The sequence below is a fragment of the Homo sapiens genome, chromosome 2 (assembly GCF_000001405.40).
Source record: "Homo sapiens chromosome 2, GRCh38.p14 Primary Assembly".
Taxonomy (NCBI): domain Eukaryota; kingdom Metazoa; phylum Chordata; class Mammalia; order Primates; family Hominidae; genus Homo; species Homo sapiens.
The window spans coordinates 224,677,914-224,693,704 of record NC_000002.12 but is presented as its reverse complement, the minus strand read 5'-3'; the positions used below and the strand labels follow the sequence as shown (position 1 = coordinate 224,693,704).

The 15,791-nt window shown below is 39.9% G+C and overlaps 1 long non-coding RNA gene across 1 annotated transcript in view; it reads right to left on the bottom strand.

Moving 5' to 3' along the window:
• LOC105373910 (uncharacterized) overlaps window positions 1-15,109 on the bottom strand; it is a 39,168-nt gene extending 24,059 nt beyond the window's left edge. The window contains exons 1-2 of the long non-coding RNA XR_923956.2: window positions 14,959-15,109; window positions 415-552 (exon numbers count right to left, since the gene is read on the bottom strand). This is a non-coding gene — a long non-coding RNA (uncharacterized LOC105373910). The remainder of the gene's footprint in view (window positions 1-414; window positions 553-14,958) is intronic.
• Between the last annotated feature and the right edge of the window lie 682 nt (window positions 15,110-15,791).

Sequence of the window (15,791 nt, the reverse complement as noted above, 5' to 3'; positions counted from 1 at the left end):
ATCAATATTCAGCCTTCCAGAGATATCGAGGCAGGGTGGATTTCTTCAGATTGTATCGTGACAGAGAGCAAATATTGATGTCTCTTCCATGTGAATGAAAATTGTTCCTGGTCTTCATCATGACAGAGATACAGTCTTTTGTAATTGGGCTGCAAAGAAATGCATTTGCCAAATCCATGACCACTTATCAGAAACTTGAGGTCAAATTATTTAATAATTTGTTCCGGCAAAAATACCTTATCTTACTTTCTGTCATTTATAGCTATCCTCCAGGATCCCTTGACTTTCTTTGGGGTCTATGTTGGTGAACTGAATGGAGACATGATGGGGACCACCAGCTCCATATCCATTGTATCCTTAAGGGTGGCTCTAATCTCTCTGTGCCTCCTAGGATGAAATGTTATTTTTACTTACGATCTTGTCCAGGGATTGAGAGAGAGTTTCAGAGGCTCCTACTTGAATAGGATAGATATAACTCAGATCAAGGAGCCAGTATGAGGGCACAGTTGAAGGAAAGAAGACAGGAATGTGTGGGTGATATTAGACTTCTCCCTGTAAAGAGAAAAATAAAATGTAGAATCTTTGTGAGAAAAGAGTGTTTATAGTAAATACAGAAGTCTCACATGTGAAAAGAAATAATCTCAATAGAGCTATTTTTTAATACTAGAAAAGACAGCTCATGTCTAAAAAAATAGAACATCAATAATTCCAGAAGAAAAAACAATAAGCAAGTTTAAAGTTTATCATAACAAAGAAAACTGCAGCTACTTTACTTGAGGTAAGTTTAAAGTTTATCAGAGCAGAAAAAGCCACAGCTACTTTACCTAAATGCAACTATGGGGAAGAAAAGGGGGAAAAAACATGCAAGTGTAAGGGTATAGGAAGAAGGAAAATTACCTGACTTTTTCTGTACTTTTATTTACCCTACTTTTATTTTCACAGGACTCAAATCATGTATTTAAAAAGACTCACACATTCGGTACCCATCATAGTATAACAGCTAAGATGATTAGCATGCTCGGTTCCAGCGTCCAGTCATATTGCACCACAGAAAGCTCTATAGTGGATCAATTGCTGCTGTGCAGTCCCTAATATTTGGTCTTTATTGAAGTTTATTGATAAAGCTGGCGCACTCTTTATTTTTTTTATTTTTTATTTCCACAGGTTTTTGGGGAACAGGTGGTGTTTGGTTACATGAGTAACTTCTTTAATGGTGATTTCTGAATTTTGGTACACCTATCACCCAAGAAGTATACACTGAATCCAATTTGTAGTTTTTTATCCCTCACCTGCTTCCCACCCTTTCCTCCTGAGTCCCCAAAGTCCATTATATCATTCTTATGCCTTTGCATCCTCACAGCTTAGCTCCCACTTATAAGTGGGAACATATGATGTTTGGTTTTCCATTCCTGAGTTACTTCACTTAGAATAATAGTCTCAAATCCCATCTAGGTTGCTGCAAATGCCATTAATTCATTCATTTTCATGGCTGAGTAGTATTCTATTATATATAATAATTATATATAATATATATATATATATATATGTATGTATGTATATGTGCCACAGTTTCTTTATCCACTCATTGATTGATGGGCATTTGGGCTGGTTCCACATTTTTGCAATTGCAAATTTGTTCTTCGTTATTATCCAGATTATATAAAGCACTTGGATTGTTATTGTCTAAAGTGAAAGAATTACCTTGAATCTCTCCTGTTTATGAATGGTAGCACGCTCTGATTTCATTCAGCACTGTGGTCTGTGCCAGTGTTTAGCACTTATTTACTGCCAGGTGGCAGGAATCATTTTTATATCATTATTATTGCTTTGAATCTTCTACCCCAGTTAGCCCAGTGTCTTGCATATAGAAGTGTTGAATAAATAGTTTTCAGTTGGCAAGTTAACAACTTGTAATCTAGGAGTATTTTACAATCTATGTGTCCCTCAAGTGACTCATAGACAATGTTGATAGAGAAACACGCATAGTTTTGCTTCTATCATAAACAAAAAACATTGGGCCGTTTTTAAATTACATTTCACCTTTCTGAGCACACTCTAACCTGAGTGAATTGTATGAGAGTGTGTAAGGGGATACACAGAGTGAGTAAACATGTGTGAGGTTGAATTTAGATGTGAGAGAACATTAATGACTGAAAATCACTCAGGGCAGGCCTCAAGGTCAGTGCCCCTAGTCAAGATCAGATACTTCGTAAGATTTCACAACTCCTCTTTTCATACCCATCACAGTATATTGTGTCGCTCATTTCCATGTCTTCCTCCCAAAGCCATCTAGGTTGATGGGATGTCTGGTCATTTTTCTACTCCTAAAACCTTATTCAGGGTATTTGCTCAATACATGTTAAATAAATGAGTGAATACATGTTAAACAAATGAGTGAATTAATGGTTGAAATAGTGGTGGGGATGCAGAGTAGTCACTTGATTTGGAATAAGAAACCATTGTAAGAACTCTAAGTGAGTGTTATAGTGAATGTAAAACTTTGAAACTGGACAGACCAAGCTCTTCATGTAACGTCAGATTTGAGGAAAGTGCCTTGATTTCTCTGAGGCTGTTTCCTCCTCTGTTAAATAAATATTGAAGAAAAAAAGGGCTGTTTCAGATATAAAATAGGTATACAAAGAACAAAGGGCACTGGCCAGATTGAAGGTGATTTCCCACACATGTTTGTTGCCATTATTCTTTAGACAATCTGGGCGTTTTTTAAGTTGAAGACTATTGTTAGAAATGTGTGAAAGGTTTACTTGGAACACACACACACACACACACACACACACACACACAGAAAAAAAGCCAAATCACTTCTCTATGTAATATTTATAGGGTAATCTTTTTTTGTCTTTTTTAGGTTTGTTTTTTTTGAGATGGAGACTTGCTCTGTCGCCCAGGCTGGAGTGCAGTGATGCAATCTCGGCTCACTGCAACCTCCACCTCCCAGGTTCAAGTAATCCTGCCTCAGCCTCCTGAGTAGCTGGGACGATAGGCTCATGCCACCACACAGCTAATTTTTGTATTTTGAGTGGAGATGGGGTTTCACCATGTTGGCTAGGGTGATCTCAAATTCCTGACCTCAAGTCATCTGCCAGCCTTGGCCTCCCAAAGTGTGGGAATTATAGACATGAGCCACTATGCTTGGCCTACATAATATTTATATATACAGGGTTTTAGGAGGTGGGAGTAATTTTTTTTTTTTTTTGACAGAGTCTCGCTCTGTCGCCCAGGCTGGAGTGCAGTGGCGCAATCTCGGCTCACTGCAAGATCCACCTCCTGGGTTCACGCCATTCTCCTGCTTCAGCCTCCTGCGTAGCTGGGACTACAGGCACCTGCCACCATGCCTGGCTAATTTTTTGTATTTTTAGTAGAGATGACGTTTCACCATGTTAGCCAGGATGGTCTCGATCTCTTGACCTCGTGATCCGCCCTCCTCAGCCTCCCAAAGTGCTGGGATTACAGGCATGAGCCACTGTGCCCGGTGGCTTAAAGGTCTTTTAAGGCCAGTGTGCCTGATCCCCTTGTAAATACTGTTAAAAATATCCTGAAAGGAAACTGGGCTTAGTCTCTATATGCTTGAATTTTCTGGCTTTGAGAAAATCTTAAAAGAGAAACAATCTCAAAAATGTATTGTTCTCATTTTAAATATTCAAACAGTTTTTCCGGACAATGTTATCTTTTTTCATCAAAATATCAGCTTTAGTCATAAAAAGTCATGATTGGCAGATTCAATTTAAAAGGCAAAATTTTAACTCCAGGTACCCACCTCCAGGAGAATGGCTAGAGACAGAAGCTATTCTATCAAAGCTGGATATTGGACTTGACCCCAGTGATAGATTCAGAGCCTTTAATTCAGTAGCCATCACCACAGCGGGGACAACTTCCCTTCCCTCCAGTCATCCACAACAAAAGGCCCTATGATTATAATGGGCCCAGAGAAACCTCTGCCAATACCAGAAAAATTCCCCACACCCTTTAACCCTGTAATTACAGGTCTAGGAATTTATCCTGAGGCGGCAATCAGAGCTATGCAAAAGCAAAAAAAAAAAAAAATGTACACAGATACTCATTGTGGTGTTATTTTACAAGAGCAAAAATGTAGCCTTCCTGCCCAAAAATTTGGGGGTATGATTTTATAGTTTTTGGAGAATATTTCATGAATATGTGGAAATACATGGAAATGTTCACATGACATATTAAACTGAAATGGTACAAAGTAAAGCATGTAACACTATTTTGTTATTTTAAAAAACACAACTAATGTCTATGAGTATATATGCACAAAGGATAAAAAGATCAAATCCCCAAAGTGCTCATCTCTGAAAGGTAGAATTATGAGTAAATTATTTTCTTCTTCACCCTTTTCTTTATCTCCCAGATTTTCCACAGTGAACTTTTATAATCAGTGGGGAATGTTACTGATTTCACAGAAAAACAACCCAGAGCTTCTGATGTGCTGACAGAGTAAGCCAGTGGCATCATCTTCATGCGTGAATAGCTACAGAGGTCACACACTCCAGGGACTCTCAGTTTTGGCTGGGTTGCTTCTCTCCAGACTCTAGCATCAACCTTCTCTCAGTAAAAAAAAAAAAAAAAAAAAAAAAATGGACACACACACACACACACACATATTGTCTTTATCTCAGTAAAAAAAATTATATACGTATATATGATACATTATGTTATATATGTTATATATGTGTATATATACGATATTATAATATATATATATATATATATATATATATATATATATATATATATATATATATATATATAATGTTATTGGCCAGGCATCATGGCTCACGCCTGTAATCCCAACACTTTGGGAGGCCAAGGTGGGCAGATCACTTGAGGCCAGGAGTTGGAGACCAGCCTGGGCAACATGGCGAAACCCCATCTCTACCAAAAATACAAAAAATTAGCCAGGCAGGTGGTGCACGCTTGTAGTCCAAGCTACTCAGGAGGCTGAGGTGGGAGGATGGCTTGAACCTGGGATGCAGAAGCTCCAGTGAGCCAGGATCCCCTCACTGCACTCCAGCCTGGGCCAGCCTGGGTGACAGAACAAGACTCCATCTCAAAAACAAAAACAAACAAACAAACAAAATGTGTATATATAGTGTTATCATATACATATAATATAAATTAAAATATTGGTAATTAACAAACCTCTGAATTTCAGATATAGAGGAAATTACTTCAGGATGTCTGCCTCACTCTGGACAGGTGACAAAAGAATTCAGTTCCGTGTTCATCATGTCAGTAAACAGAGCTTTGCTTCCCATAAGTGTTCCTTTAGCTACACTGTATATAACAACTTTTCAAAAATTCAGTGTCACACGGAGACACCGTGATTTGACTATCCTCTAGTTAAAAGATTTCTCTATAGTATGACACTACCACTTAGTTGGAACCTTGACTTGCAATGATAGAGTTCTAAGTTATCTGAGAAACAATTTTTTTTAATTTATGGTTATCACTAAAATATATATGAGGTTGACAATATAGAATTTGTTATTACTATGTTTATTTATATATATATACATATATATATACACAAATATATATATACGAATATATATATATATATATATTTTTTTTTTTTTTTTGAGAAGGGTCTCATTCTGTTGCCCAGGCTGAAATGCAGTGGCGTGATCACAGCTCACTGCAGCCTCGACCTCCCGGGCTCATTTGAGCCCCATGCCTCAGCTTCTCGAGTAGCTGGGACCACAGGTACACGCCACCATGCCCAACTAGTATTTGTATTTTTTGTAGAGAGCGAATTTCACCATGTTGCCCAGGCTTAAGTGATCCATCCACCTCAGTGCCCCCAAAGTGCTGGGGTTACAGGTGTGAGTCACCACACTGGCCTATGTTAATTTCTAATAGATTTCACATATTGTTATTATTGCCATCTTCTCTCCTCAGATCAACTCATATTTATTAAATAGAAGACAGCAGAATGAACAGAATTCCAGGTCATGGCAATCCCTCCACCTGGCTGGGCCTCAAATTTCCCATCTGTGAAAGAGGGATGTGGACTGCTACAACTGAGGGACTTCTCATCACTGACATTCTATAAGTCTATAACTGTTGCTACAAACTTGTTATCTATTTTAGCAGAAAAGACAGATATAAGAGTAAATATGAAGCTGTATGTCTAGAACCTAAAAGAGATCAGGATGGGCTCGCACGAAACTTGGCTATGAACCTACAAAAATCCCCTTAGAAGATCAGTGGGAACTCTCAACAGGTTTCTATGTTGGTTTAATGGATTTAACATCGGGAATTTCTCAGGGATGTCAGTGGAAGTGAGGGATGATGTTCCACAGACAGCTGGTTCTCGTTATTAACTGTGGTTATGTTCTATAAAGCCACTGTGAACAATGAATTAGTGAATACTGAACCATCACCTTGAGGGAAACACAGGGTTAGGATCCTGTGAGCCTCTGGTATCCATTTCATCAACTGATCCATAGAGAAGCTTGTTGTATGTGTGCTTCTGCTTAAAAACACTTTATTTAATATATATTGGGATTCATTAACATTAAACTCACTGACAACAACATTATAACTCATGTCTGAAAGAAGCTTATCAAACACTTGTATTTTCTCTGGCAGGTATGTCACAGCCCTCTTGCACTTAGAAACACTAGACAGCCCTTCATCCCTATGGCTGTGGACATTTTAAAGGGCAAAATCACCAACAAAAAGAAGAAAAATTCAAAAAAAAAATGTGGTACTAAGACGGTGAGAACAATACTTGTTTGCAACAAGAGAGCTGAAACAAAATTGCCAAAAGAGTAGATTTTGTGTTTTCATGACAAAAAAAAAAGTATACAAGGCAATACATATATTAATTAGCTTGATTTAGCCATTCTACAATGAATACATATATCAAAACACCATGTGGTGCTTTGTGTATAAATATACACATTTTGTATCTGTTAATTTTTAAAAGTTTTTGTTTGTTTGTTTGTTTTTGAGATGGAGTCCCACTCTGCTTCCCAGGCTGGAGTGCAATGGCACAATCTCGGCTCACTACAACCTCCGCTTACTGGGTTCAAGTGATTCTCCTGCCTCAGCCTCCTGAGTAGCTGGGATTACAGGTGCCCACCACCATGACAGGCTAATTTTTGTATTTTTAGCAGGGACAGGGTTTCACCATGTTGGCCAGGATGGTCTCAAACACCTGATCTCAGGTGATCCACCCACCTCGGCCTCCCAAAGTGCTGGGATTACAGATGTGAGCCACTGTGCCTGGCCAATTTTTAAAAGTTATAAAAAGAAAAACTATGCTGGGTGACAGAGGAAGACTCCATCTCAAAAAAAAAAAGAAAAAGAAAAAGAAAAGAAAACCCATCCATCGAAAACTAAAAATCATTGTCATCAATGGTTTTCATAAACCTAAATAAGTGGATTTGTAAACAAAAAAAGTAAAAGAAGAATGCAGAAGGCAGAGCATCAGTTTTAGGAAGACTCAAATTTTTCACCATGCTGCATGCGTCCACAAATGACTACGAAAGTGCAACAAGTATTGATTTTGGGGGTTCAAATAAATGTTAGTGAGTAGGTGAATTCACAACTACAAAATCCATGAATAATAAGGATCAACTGCATTTGTCATCTCATCATCAACAGAAACATAAATGACAAGGATGATGGGAGGCTGGGGACTAGAGTATTTATGAACTTTAAAATTTTTGAAAAGTAGATGCAGAGTGATCATTCAATATATGTTGTCTCTTCAGTATCTCCAGGAATTGGCACTTGTCATTTCTTTCTTTTTTTTTTTTTTTGATATGGAGTCTCACTCTGTCGCCCAGGCTGGAGTGCAATGGCGCGATCTCAGCTCACAGCAACCTCTGCCTCCTAGGTTCAAGCGATTCTCCTGCCTCAGCCTCTGGAGTAGCTGGGATTACAGGCACCCACCATCATGCCCAGCTAGTTTTTGTATTTTGAGTAGAGACGGGGTTTCACCACATTAGCCAAGCTGGTCTCGAACTCCTGACCTCAGATGATCCACCCAACTCAGCCTCACAAAGTGCTGGGATTACAGGCGTGAGCCACCGCGCCCAGCCGGCACTTGTTATTTCTAATAGGATCCCTGTACTGTCTAACTCCGAAGGTCACTATATTTATTTTATATGATGCTGTGAAATAATTCGACAAAATCCCAGCCCCAAAGCATTTTTTTTCTCTTCTTCCTTTGGTCTCTTTCACATCTGTCCTTCAATTTTTTCCCCAAATAATTATTAACATAGTAATAGTGCTAAGTTAAGTTTCATAACATCAGCTTTTGATGCTGACAGGTTAATGGAACAGAGTTGAATATGTACTTGAAGTGGCAGATTAAAGTCCAAAGCACAGAGTCCCAGCCACTGTCTCAGCTAGCTCTTTGCTCTTCTCCAAGCACCTGGTAATAAGCCTTGTACAATATGGTGCCACAAAACACACCCTTTTCATCAATAATCATGAGAGAAGGGAGCCCACTACAGAACATTTTTAAGTCCTTCCACAAAGATTTTGTACATCTGGGTCAAAGCTTTGCAAAATTATTCTGCAATATTACAACCACTTGAAAGAACCTTGGCACTTTTTACTAAATATAAACCTATCTATGACCAAGCAATTCTATGCCTAGTACATCTCCAAGAGAAGTAAGTGCATGTGTCCATAAAAAGCCTTGCGTAAGAATGTTCAAAGAGCATTATTAGTAATAGACAAAGCTAGAAACAAAGAAATAGAGCAAACAAATAAATTGTGATATATCCATACAATGGAATACCACATAGCAATAAAAATGATGTTGATAGATGAATTTCAAAAACATTATGTGAAAAGAAAGAAGCCAGATACAAAAGAGCATACGGTATGATTCTATTTATAAGAAGATCAGGTAGAGGAGAGACTAATCTATGAAGACAGAAGTCAGAATAATGGATACCTCTAATGGGTGATATTGACTGGGAAAAGGCATAAGAGAACTTTCTAGGGTGGTTAAAATGTTTTACATGATATAAATCTGATTGCATTGCTATAAAGGAATACCTAAGACTGGGTAATGAATTTAAAAAACAGGTTTATTTTGGCTTATGTTTCCACAGGCTGTACAAGCATGGCACCAACATCTCTTTGGTTTCTGGTGAGAGCCTCAGGAAGTTTCCACTCATAGCGGAAGGCAAAAGGAGAGCCAGGGTACGACATGGAGAGGGAAGAAGCAAAAGAGCAAGGAGGAAGTGCCAGGCGCCTTTAAACAACCAGCTCTCGTGTGAACTCAGGGTGAGAACTAACTCATTACTGTGAGGAGGGTACCGAGCCATTCATGAGGGATCTGTCCCTCTCACCCAAAAAATTTATTTTGCTGTTGTATTGGGTTTCTATTGCTGCCATAACAAATCACCACAAACTTAGTAGCTTAAAACAATACAAATTTACTATCTTACTGTTCTGTAAGGCCAAAAATCCAACAAAGGTTTCCCTTGGCAAAAATCAAGGTTTTGGCAGGGTTGCGTTCCTTTCTAAAGACGGGGAGCTTTGGGAGGCTGAGGTGGGCTGACGGCTTGAGTCCAGTAGTTCAAGACCAACCTGGGCAACATAGCAAAACTCCTTAGCTACGAAAAAATACAAAAAATTAGCTGGGTATGGTGGTGTGAGTCTGTGGTCCCAGCTACCCGGGAGACTGAGGTGGGAGTATCGCCTGAGCCTGGGAGGCAAAGGTTGCAGTGAGCCAAGATTGTGCCACTACACTCCAACCTGGGAAACAGACCAAGATTCTGTCTCAAAATAAATAAATAAATAAAGAGTAGCTGGGTGTGGTGGCTCACACCTGTAATCCCAGCACTTTGGGAGGCCAAGGCAGGTGGATCACCTGAGGTCAGGAGTTCAAGACCAGCCTGGCCAACATGGTGAAACCCTGTCTCTACTAAAAATAAAAAAAATTAGCTGGGTGTGGTGGCAGATGTCTGTAATCCCAGCTACTTGGGAGGCTGAGGCACAAGAATGGCTTGAACCCAGGAGGTTGCAATGAGCCAAGATGGTGCCACTGCACTCCAGCCTGGGGTGACAGAGTGAGACTCTGTCTCAAGAAATAAAATAAAATAAATAAAGACTGTGGAGAATTCATTGTCTTGCTTTTTCCTGCTTCTAGAAGTCATCCACATTCCTTAACTCACAGCCTCCTTCCTCTATCTTCAAAGTCAGTAATGGGTGGAGGTCTTACATTACATAATTCTGATCTCCCTTTTGCCTCTCTCTCCTGCTTTTAAGAACCTTTGTGATTACACTGAGTCCACACAAATAATCCAGAATAATCTCCCTATCTCAAGGAGATTTAAGCAAATCTTCAAATTTCCTTTTGTCATATAAAGTAGCATATTCATAGGTTTCAGGAATTCAGATGTGGAAATCTTTGGTAGTACATTATTCTGCCTAGCACAGTGCTTAAGATATATGCATTTTACTCTGTGTAAATTATACCTCAACAAAAAAATAAAGTTTTTCAAAGAGAAAAGAAAAATACCAGGCAGAAATCTTCATAAAAACCCTCAGAATGTCAAGCTTGATGAAGTAATTCATCAAAACAGAAGCCAAACAGAATTCAAACTATTAAAAGTTAATTCATAGCTCACTCAGTAGTCTAACATAAAAAACCAGTCCCTTTAGGAGTAAATCAACTTCCCCAACTTATGTTTTGATTCAGTTGAAGGACATATGCAAAATCTACGTAAAGTGTAATTCAATACGTAAAAATGTTATGATGCCTAAGAACCAATTAATCTGTGATTGTCTCATGTCCCTTCTCATATCTCGTCCCAGAGACTGTTAACTGTTATTTGATAATATGGATCATTTAATTTGTACCTCACTTTGACTTTTAATTGGATAAATGAGCCAAGACATAAATCATTATCTCAATCTTGAAGGTTTTTATATTGATATTTCAGCCAAAAATTGCAATTGAATTGAAAAGTTCATTAGATTTAAATGTTTTTAAAATGCAAAAATATTAGATGGTGGTAAAATAAATGAAAATAGATGCAAAAAATGGTGTCAACCTTATTTTTAATGGTAGTTTAGCTATTGCTTTGTTCACATTAAAATATATTCACAACAGATACTTACTATGTATAATAGATTAGTCGTATTTGCCTAATAAGAAAATAAATACTCCACCATATGGTCTCAGTTACATTTGCACTATTTTGCCAACGTGTATTATCACATTCCCTTGAGGAGAAATAACTCTGTGGATTAAGCTCAGAAAATAATATAAAATGAAAAATTATGCCTCTAGCCCTATTTCAGAGTAATCCTGCTTGCCTGCATGTGCACCTGCTGTCCTGCTAGAGATCTCAGCCATCTGGGTTGTAGCATACCCCTGGGGCTGGATATTGTGCCAAATATCTTTCACTAGAGGCAATATTGCTTCTTTGATGACTATAAGCCATGCTAAACCAGAACATAGGAGTTTTCCAGCTAAGGACACTATCCATGTACACTGTTTGCCAGGCAACTTCTCACCACATTTGAGCAACAGAAATGCATTTTGGTCTTAGAAATTTGGGTAGGAAGGGACTTTTAAGGGCAGGAAATTTAACCCCAGGAAATAAAAATTCAAACACCAATATTGATAGGCAATTCTCAGATAGGAAAAGTCAATGTCTCAATTCATTTAAGCTGTTATAACAAAGTGCCATAAACTGGGTAGCTTACAAACAACAGAATTTATTTCTCTCCATTCTGGAGGCTGGAAAGTCCAAGATCCAGGCACATTCAATGTCTGGTGAGGGCCCATCTCTGGCTCATAGATGGTACTTCTTGCTGTGGCCTCACATGGCAGAAGAGGCCAAGGTCTCTCTGAGGTCTCTTTAAGGGCACAATAAGGGCACAATTCTATTCATGAGGACTCCATTCTTATGCCCTAGTCACCTCCTAAAGGCCCCACTCTATAGTTTGAATGTCCCCTCCCAAACTCATGTTGAAATTTAATTACTATCTTAACAGTATTATGAGGTGAGACCTTTAAGAGGTAATTAGGCCATGAGGGTCTATTTTCATGAATGGATTAATGCCATTATTAGGGTATGGCTTTGTTGTCATGGGAGTGGGTTCCTTATAAAAGAATGAGTTTGGCCCCTTTTGTCTCTCTCTCTCTCTCTCTCTCTCTCTCGCTGTCTTGGATCTTACACCTTCTACCGTGGGATGATGCAGCAAGAAGACCCTTGCTGGAGACCAAGCCCTGGATCTTGGAATTCCCAGCCTTGAAAACGGTAAGAAATTAATTGCTGTTCATTATAAATTACCCAGTCACAGGTATTCTCTTGTAGCAGCAGAAATGGACTACCTCCTTATATCCCACCCCTAATACCATCACTTTGGGGGTTAGGATTTCAATATATGAATTTAGAGGGGGCCAGACATGGTGGCTCATGCCTGTAATCCCAGCACTTTGGGAGGCCGAGGCGGGTGGATCACCTGAGGTCAGGAGTTCAAGACCAGCCTGGCCAACATGGGGAAACCTTGTCTCTACTGAAAATACAAAAATTCGCTGGGTGTGGTGGTGGGCAGTCCCAGCTACTCGGTAGGCTGAGGCAGGAGAATCACTTGAACCCAGGAGGTGGAGGTTATAGTGAGCCTGGATTGTGCCATTGCACTCCAGCACTCCAGCCTGGGCAACAAGAGCGAGACTCTGTCTTAAAAAAATAATAATAATTTAGAGGGAGACACAAACATTCTGATCACAGCAATCACTTTCCCAAAGTCATACTGACACTAAGTAACACAGACAGGGTTTGAATTCAGGCAGTCTGACTCCTGTGGAACTAGCCACTATTTGATGCTGCCTCCCAAGCCACAAAAATCATGGCCATACATGTATCCATCTTAAAATAATTCTTCCTCCATTCTCCACACATTGGTCTGGACAAGGAGGAGAGAGCACAGGGCTCTCTGGGCTTGATGATATCTGCTATAGAAGATCTAATTGCAGACTGACTCTAGGTTGGAGGATCCTCAATAATTGCATGTGTCCCCGAGAATTTCCAGGCCAGTGAGGAAGCTCTAGAGGCATCTCAAGTTCACTTTGATTCAAAAAATAAAAACAAAATCCCGGGAAATACAAACAAAATTCCACTGAAGTGGACCACTAAGTTTCCCCAAGATGAATCCACTCAGCAAAACATGCCAGATTTTGAACACATTGGAAGAACCTACACTTTTGGGACTAGACAGATTTTAAGAAGGATTCAATGAGAGGACTCAGGTGTGTTATCCTCCACAGCTTCTCTTGCTTTCCAAACTGAGGGGCCATATACAGATAGCTAAAAGTACCAAGAATACTCAAAACTGCTGATACAATAGAAACATAGCTTTTGAAAGCCCAAATGTATGTTACAGCCTTATTTATTTATTTATTTATTTATTGATTCATTCATTCATTTTTGAGACAGAATCTTGCTCTGTCACCCAGGCTGGAGTGCAACAGCGCGATCTCGGCTCACTGCAACCTCTGCCTCCCAGGTTCAAGCAATTATCCCACCTCAGCCTCCTGAGTAGCTGGGATTACACGCACCCGCCATCATGCCCGGCTAATTTCTGTATTTTTGTAGAGACGGGGTTTCACCATGTTGGCCAGACTGGTCTTGAACTCCCGACCTCAGGTGATCCACCCTCCTCAGCCTCCCAAAGTGCTGGGATTACAGGAGTGAGCCACCACGCCTGGCCTACAGCCTTATTTTAACAGCAATTTGCCTGTACTAGAGCCAGACATTCAGGGACATACGGTGGTCACCTATCCTTTTCAGAAAGGCCATTTCATTTATTCAGGAAATCTTTTTTTTTTTTTTTTTCAAGGCAGGATCTTGCTCTGCCACGCAAGCTGGTGTGCTGTGGAGTTACCATAGCTAACTGCAGCCTCAACCTCCTAGGCTCAAGAGATCCACCCACCTCAGCCTCTCAAGTAGCTGGGACTACAGGTGTGCACCATCACACCCAGCTAATTTTTAAATTTTTTTGTAGAGAAGGCGTCTCACTTTGTTGCCCAAGCTGGTCTTGAACTCCTGGGCTCAAGTGATCCTCCCACCTTGGCCTTCCAAAATGCTAGAATTACACACGTGAGTCACTGTGCCTGGCCCCAGGAAATCTTAATTTAGCACTCACTATGGGTGAAGTGCTGCAGCCACACAGGGATTACTGCAGTGAACTGGACAGACTGGTCCCTGACTGGCTGGATTTTAGAGTATAGCTGGGGACACAGACAAAGAGATTTCCTAACGAAGCAAGAGATTTAAAAACAAACAGAAACAAACAAACAAAAAACACATAAATACTGGGCACGGTGACTCATGCCTGCAATCCCAGCACTTTGGGAGGCCAAGGTGGGTGGATCCCTTGAGGCCAGGAATTTGAGACCAGCCTGGGCAACATGGTGAAACCCCATCTCTACTAAAAATACAAAAACGTTAGCCAGGTGTTTTAGCACATGCCTGTAATCCCAGCTACTCAGGAGGCTGAAGCACGAGAATTGCTTGAGGCCCGAGAATCACTTGAACCTGGAAGGCAGAGTTTGCAATGAGCCAAGATTGTGCCACTGCACTCCATCCTGGGTGACAGAGTGAGACTCTGTCTATAAACACACACACACACACACACACACACACACACAAATACTACTGTAATAAGTTTTGAGGAAAAAAATCCATTAAGTGCTAAATGGAGAAAAATTAGGTCCAGTTTTAGGAAAGGTTGAAGGGTGAGATGGAGGCAATTTTCAAAGAACCGAGAGTAAAGTCTACAGGGAAATGGAAGAATAATTTACATTCCAGGTGCAAGTAGTCATCCCATCCCCAAACCCACAGAAGCTATTTTCCTACTACCAGGGCCCCTTGATCTTTCACGAGGGAGAATAAATAGTAGGCAAAATCACCCCAGAATAAGATTTTAGCTTACCTTTTTAAGATCTCAGACCAGAACCTTCATCTACACATCTTGACCTCATAAGAAAGTTCAATATAGGGTGAAGAACTGAACCTTCCCAATACCAAGGCTGTAGCCCCAACCCTGTCCCTTCTCAGGGCGTGCCCTGGTTAACTGTGCCTCTGTTCACTTAACAAGGCTGGGTCTCTATAAACTGCAGGCGTTGGATTATAAAGTCCCTTTCATCACTCATGCAGCTAGTGATTAACTGACAATTGCAAGCTTGTGCAACCCCTTAATCTTTTTTATTGCATCACGTAAGCCATGCTATATTATATAGTTTCTCTTTCATATTATTGGCTTTTAAGAGCTTACCCCTGTGGTTTCTGCAAATGGATAAAAGACAGAGCCACTCCAAATGGTTCCTCACTTCCCAAACATCACAAGTAAACAAGTGATCTTTCCATAAATGTCTTACCTTGCAATTGCCCATTACAATTTGTCCTTGGTAGAGAGTTAACCTCTCATTTTCCCACATTATTAATTCCATGTGGCATTTTTTTCCAGTTCTGTTCATGCATTCTCGAGATGCCTCCTTCAAAATTTCATTTTTACCTCATTTTCATTTATTTTCCAGGCTGACTGTACCACCTGTCACTGGCAAATCCAGGGAAGTTTATTCCAAGCTCAGCCCTATAGTACACTGCACGGGCACAGTGGTTTCTCCTCAGCATTTAGAGGCAATTTCCACTAGGTTGTTCTAATTCCCACTGAATGACCCATGTGTTCCAAATTAGGATACACTTTCTTTTTTTTTTTTTTTTTTTTTTTTTTTTTTTTTTTTTGAGACGGAGTCTGGTTCTGTC